Source organism: Homo sapiens, chromosome 12 (assembly GCF_000001405.40).
Source record: "Homo sapiens chromosome 12, GRCh38.p14 Primary Assembly".
Classification (NCBI taxonomy): Eukaryota; Metazoa; Chordata; class Mammalia; order Primates; family Hominidae; genus Homo; species Homo sapiens.
The window spans coordinates 8,907,802-8,913,842 of record NC_000012.12 but is presented as its reverse complement, the minus strand read 5'-3'; the positions used below and the strand labels follow the sequence as shown (position 1 = coordinate 8,913,842).

The following is a 6,041-nucleotide window of genomic DNA, read 5'->3' as shown; positions in this document are numbered from 1 at the left end:
AAGTTTGTCATTTCAGGGATTTGTGTGTGCTTCGATTTCAATATGTATATGAGTTCGAATGACAAAAACGGGAAAAGGCCAGAGTATAACGAGATGTAGAACAATGGGGCTGTCTCTGGGAACACTAAACATTTGATAGGGGAGCCGTTGTCGTTGTATTTATGATATCAACTTACCGGTTTTTAATTACTCTCTCATCGTTCAACATTCAATAAATATTTATAGAGCGTCTACTATGTGCTAAACCGTGGAAGCTTGGATTGCATCAGTGCACGAAACAAAGATAACTGCCTTACTGCCTTCATTAACCTTTACAGAAGGGTCTGGGGGATGCCTCGTGGATTAACAACTGGGATTGATGCCTTTTCTCTTGCTCTCAGTCTTTTCCTAACCTCTATCCTAAACAGTTATTTTCTCTGTCAATCCACTCTTCCTTTTCTCCTTTAAAAGCCCATGCATGGTTTGTTTATAGAGAAAAAAACAGAAGTGTTATCTTTGCTTATAAATTATATCCATTTAGATTTTGCTTTGAGAGAGGAGTATTTGGACTCCAAGGTCTTTCATTTGTGGCAGCCAGATTAAAATCGGAGAACAATTTCTGCCAGGCTTCTAGGAACTAGTCAGACAGGTATGTGAGGGAAGAAACCGGAGGGCAGCCAAAGGACTGGAAAAGCGAAGACACGGGGTATGAGGAGGTGAAAGGGTGTGTTACCAGGCCGTGGATGACAGGCACTGGCTGAGGATGATTTGAAAAGATTCTGACTGGTAGAACTAGTGGTGAAAACGAGGTAAAGCATTCGTTGTTTAATTCACACCTGGATTTTTGGCATGTCAAAGCAGTTAAAGCTTTCTTGCAGAAGTTTAGAAATGGATATCGATTGAGCCTAGGCGGAATTTTCTAGCACCAATGGAAAAAAAAAGCATCTATAGATAATTTTCAGATTATACAACATTAAAGTTAAGAAACATGACTCATGTGCTTCCTTAGTTTCCCTGGGAGAATTATCACTGTTAAGTGTCTAAAGAAGATTTGTAAGCTATAACAAGAATAAGGAATGCAGATATCAGAGGGTATGGACTTGTTTTTCTATAGCCTATGGAACTTGTGTACCAAGAGGGTACATGACCATATCGCATTTCACCCTCCTTACAAATGGAGCAGAATTACCGCTACTGCATATAGTTACATTCCACCCCTAAAGATTTTTTTTTTTTATTTACTAGGTCACCGGCTCCTATAGCTACTAGATAATGTTAGGGGATAAGCGATGAATACTTTTGTTGAGTGCCTGTTATAAATTTAGCCTGAGAATAATCTATCATGAGGCGAGCTATACTGATTATGGGCCAGTAGTTTAATTTTTATATGTAAAGGTGTGTGCTCCATATATCACAGGATTCTTTTCAAGTTCATTTTTCTCCAAGTCAGGCCAGTGTTCTAAGGTCATAGGTCTAAACAGTTCCCACCAAAAAAGATTTAGTATAAAAAAGAAATATATCAACAGCAAAGTAAAGTTATAGGAAAGCCTCCATCCATAAGAAAATCATTTTCATAGACTAAATCAGCTTGAGAGCAGGCATTGAAGAACTTATCTCGGTCTAAACAGCAAAACAATCTGTGTTCCCTAGAGAATACTCAACTTTTTTTTCTTAATTTTTCTAAAGTTTCTCATTTTCATTTAATGACTCTGCTTGAATTAGACTTTTCTTTTTCAAACAAAATGGTTCTTCTGAATGGAGGCTACAGAATGTCTTTACTCTGCATAACACTGAAGGCCATTAGCCTAAACAGGTGAGAAGGAAAAGCATTTAATCCGGTGTATGGAAATGGAAGCCCTCCTGCAAACTTCTCTAAATAAGGAAGGATCCTGGTTTGAAAGGCTGTCGATGTTTGGCAGCAACTGAAGCAAATAGACTAGAAGTTAAGCTAATAGAACTTTTCATATCAACTGAACATTGCTTAAGCATTCCTCAAGCTTCTCCTGTAAACCTAGCATTCTGCAATAAATTGTGAAGGAAGAGATGTCCTTTACCCTAAAGGTGTTAGTATCTTTGGAATGTGTCTTTCTACAAGTAATCAAGTAAGAATGTGTGACCATGTTTTTATGCAAATATGGATAGGAAGAAGTAGAGAAAAAAGGAAATCATAACCTTTACTCTCCCCACCACCAACTGTGGCTGTGAACCACCATACACAGCCCACCTGTGTCTCACTATAATTCTGCATGCCACTTTAAGGTCTAGTTGGGAGAAAATGAAGATTGAGTGGATTTATAGGCTCTTAGATATTTAAAGGAAAAAAAAAGAACTTTAAAACTAAGCCCCTCAGTTTTCAGTGAAGACAATTGAAGTCTAAATGATAAATGTAGAAGAGGGATATTTCGTAATCCCTGGAAAATAGAAAATGTCCAATAAATATTAGTTAACTGAATTAATTTCCTAGATTCTTGCCCTTCTCTCATAGGAAAAGAATATGAAATTAAAAGATATAAAGGATACCTCTCATCTCTCGCTACTAATACCTACCATAGATCCTTTCTTCAAGCAGAAGTTTAAAATTAACATACTAATTGGTTCAGCCCAATATTCCATCCATCATTGCCCGCAAAAGATATAGAAGTACCCCTACATCCTTAAGGAGCATAAGACTGACGATAACATACTCTTCATCAGTATTGACAGTTATAATGATGGCAAGTTATGCACCTTTCCTTAACTTTGGTTTGCTTTCAGTAAAACAGGGGTAACACCTGGTAGTTGGTGGAAATAAGTGAGATGTTTGTAAAGCACTTCACATTGGGACCTGACACATAGCACAGGCTATTATTAATTTTCCTTAGTAACTAATATATTTTTGTGATCACCAAATAGAACTAAACCATTCTTTATGTTTTATTCAGTTTACATCACAACCTTATTAACTCACAATTTAGTTGAGTTTATGCATTAATTAGTTTAGTGAACTTACTATTATTTTATATAACAAAGAGTATTCCCTTCCTTGTATACTAAATTTACCTCTTTCGGGCTTCAGGTGTGTCGTCTTGTCTACTATTTCAGTATTTAGGGAGCAAAACCATGTTGGGACCAAGCACTAGATTTATACCCTCTGGGATTATGTGTCCTAGGCCCAGAGAACCAGGTACCTGGGAAAACATCTAAAGGGAAAAACAATTCAAAATATACTTAGAGCCTCTGCTCATGGCCTCACATGCATTATTGCATTCAACTCAATAACCTTTTCTGCTAGCTGTTTTTAATCCTTAATTTATAGATGAGGAAATTAAAGCTCTGGAAGATTAGGTAAATTGCTCAAGGTTCATAGGTGTAATAAGTAATGGAGTCAGAATTTAAATTCAGGTCTGTCCATCTTCAAAGCTCATAACTACATTATATCCTTCACAGTGTGAAAATAGAGTGATGCAAAAGATCTATTTAAAATGCTTAGCACACACATAAACATTTGCACAAAGAAGCTTGGCATTTGCCATGGTAAATACCTGCAATGGAAGGCCACTCTGCCTTTGTTAACTAGAGAAATAGCTCTAGTTATCAGTCTGTAAAGACACTGTGGAGATGTCTCAGCAGAAAATAGAGATATATATATTATTTCCCTAAATTGGCTGTTTTCTCTCTTGTCTACTGATAAACTGTGGTAAGCAGAACAATGCCCCCCCACCAAGGATGTCCCCATCTGTGAAATCTGTGAATACGTTATGCTCCATGGCAAAAAGAAATTAAAGTTGCAATTGGAATTAAGGTTGTTAATCAGTTGACCTTAAAATAGGGAGATTATCATGGATTACCTTGGCAACCCAGTGTAATCACAAGCGTCCTTAAAAGTGGACGAGGGAGGCAGGAAAGACAGGTTCAGTGATGTGACATGAGAAGTATTTAACCTGTCATTTCTGTCTTTGACACTGGAAGGGGGCCACAAGCCACGTAAGGTGGGAAGCCTTCAGAAGCCAGAAAAAGCAAGGAAATGGATCCTCCCCAGAGCTTCCAGAAAAGAACACAGACAGCCCTGCTGACACCTTGATTTTCACCCAGTGAGACGCATGTCAGACTTCTTTCTTTTTTTCTTATGTTATTTATTTATTTATTTTAATTTTTATTATGTTCTTTTTGAGACTCTTTTTGAGTCTCACTCTGTCACCCAGGCTGGAGTGCAGTGGCGTGACCTTAGCTCACTGCAGCCTTGACCTCCCAGGTTCAAGCAATTCTCATGCCTCAGTTTCCCAAGTAGCTGGGATTACAGGCGCCTGCCACCATGCCCCGCCCAGCCTATTTTTGTATTTTTAGTAGAGACAGGGTTTTTGTTTTTTTGTTTTTTTGTTTTTTTTTTTGAGACGGAGTCTCACTCTGTTGCCCAGGCTGGAGTGCAGTGGCACGATCTCGGCTCACTGCAACCTCCACCTCCCAGGTTCAAGAGATTCTCCTGCCTCAGCCTCCAGAGCTCAGACAATCCGCCCGCCTTGGCCTCCCAAAGTGTTACAATTGCAGGCCTGAGCCACCACGCCTGGCCTTTTTTCTTTTTCTTTTTCTTTCTTTTCTTTTTTTTTTTTTTTTGAGACAGAGTTTCCCTCTTGTTGCCCAGGCTGGAGTGCAATGGCACGATCTCGGCTCACCGCAACCTCCGCCTCCCGGGTTCAAGCGATTCTCCTGCCTCAGTCGCCCGAGTAGCTGGGATTACAGGCATGCACCACCAGGCCCAGCTAATTTTGTATTTTTAGTAGAAACGGGGTTTCTCCATGTTGGTCAGACTGGTCTCAAAATCCTGACCTCAGGTGATCTGCCCTCCTCTGCCTCCCAAAGTGTTGGGATTTGGGAGGCGTTAGCCACCGCCACATGTCAGACTTCTGACCTACAGAACTGTGAAATAATACATTTGTGTTGTTTTAAGCCACTAAATTTGTGGCTTATTGTTGTGTCCCAAATCATTACCAGTGGCAACAGAAAACTAACATACAACCTAGTGTAGGCGAGGAAAACTTCCTTCTACTCTCTTAGGTTCTGCAGCTGGTTTAAGAATTAAACTGACAAATTAGCTAATCCCAGCTACTAGGGAGGCTGAGAACCCAAGAGGTGCGGCGGTTGCAGTGAACCAGAATCATGATAAAATAGATTAAGGCCGGGCACAGTGGGTCATGTCTGTAATCCCAGCACATTGGGAAGCCGAGGCGGGTGGATCACCTGAGGTCAGGAGTTCAAGACCAGCCTGGGCAACATGGTGAAACCCTGTCTCCACTAAAAATACAAAAATTAGCTGGGCGCGGTGGCGCGTGCCTGTAGTTCCAGCTACTCGGGAGGCTGAAGCAGGAGAATCTCTTGAACCAGGGAGGCAGAGGTTGCAGCGAGCCTAGATTGTGTCACTGCACTCCAGCCTGGGCAGTGAGACTCCGTCACACACACAGAAAAGAAAAAAACAGGCCGGGCACGGTGGCTCACGCCTGTAGTCACAACACTTTGGGAGGCTGAGGTGGGTGGATCACGAGATCAGGAGTTCGAGACCAGCCTGGCCAACATGGTGAAACCCCATCTCTAGTAAAAATACAAAAATTAGCCGGGCATGGTTGCAGGCACCTCTAATCCCAGCTGCTTGGGAGGCTGAGGCAGGAGAATCACTTTAGCCCCGGAGGTGGAGGTTGCAGTGAGCTGAGATCGCGCCATTGTACTCCAGCCTGGGCACAGAGCAAGACCCCGTCTCAAAATAATAATAATACTAAACAAAATAACAGATTAAGAAGAAAAAAGGATATAAATGCATTTAATATATTTACATGTACGTGGGAGACTTCAGAAGGAAAATGTAAGACCCAAAGAGGCCAGAGCAGTGGCTCACACCTATAATCCTGGCATTTTGGGAGGCCAAGGTGGGTGGATCACCTGAGGTCAAGAGTTCGAGACCAACCTGGCCAACATGGTGAAACCCCATCTCTACTAAAAATACAAAAATTAGCTGGGCGTGGTTGTTCATGCCTGTGATCCCAGTTACTCGGGAGGCTGAGGCAGGAGAATCACCTGAACCTGGGAGATGGTTA

At 41.2% G+C, this 6,041-nt stretch overlaps 2 annotated features.

Annotated features, from left to right (window-relative positions):
• Positions 1,649-2,201: an enhancer, noted in NCBI's record as "OCT4-NANOG-H3K27ac hESC enhancer chr12:9064238-9064790 (GRCh37/hg19 assembly coordinates)". NCBI's record gives its function as "activates a minimal SCP1, AML or CMV promoter by ChIP-STARR-seq in naive and primed H9 embryonic stem cells {active_cell/tissue: H9 hESC(naive and primed)}" and the evidence as "EXISTENCE:reporter gene assay evidence [ECO:0000049][PMID:30033119]".
• Positions 4,933-5,588: an enhancer, noted in NCBI's record as "NANOG-H3K27ac-H3K4me1 hESC enhancer chr12:9060851-9061506 (GRCh37/hg19 assembly coordinates)". NCBI's record gives its function as "activates a minimal SCP1, AML or CMV promoter by ChIP-STARR-seq in naive H9 embryonic stem cells {active_cell/tissue: H9 hESC(naive)}" and the evidence as "EXISTENCE:reporter gene assay evidence [ECO:0000049][PMID:30033119]".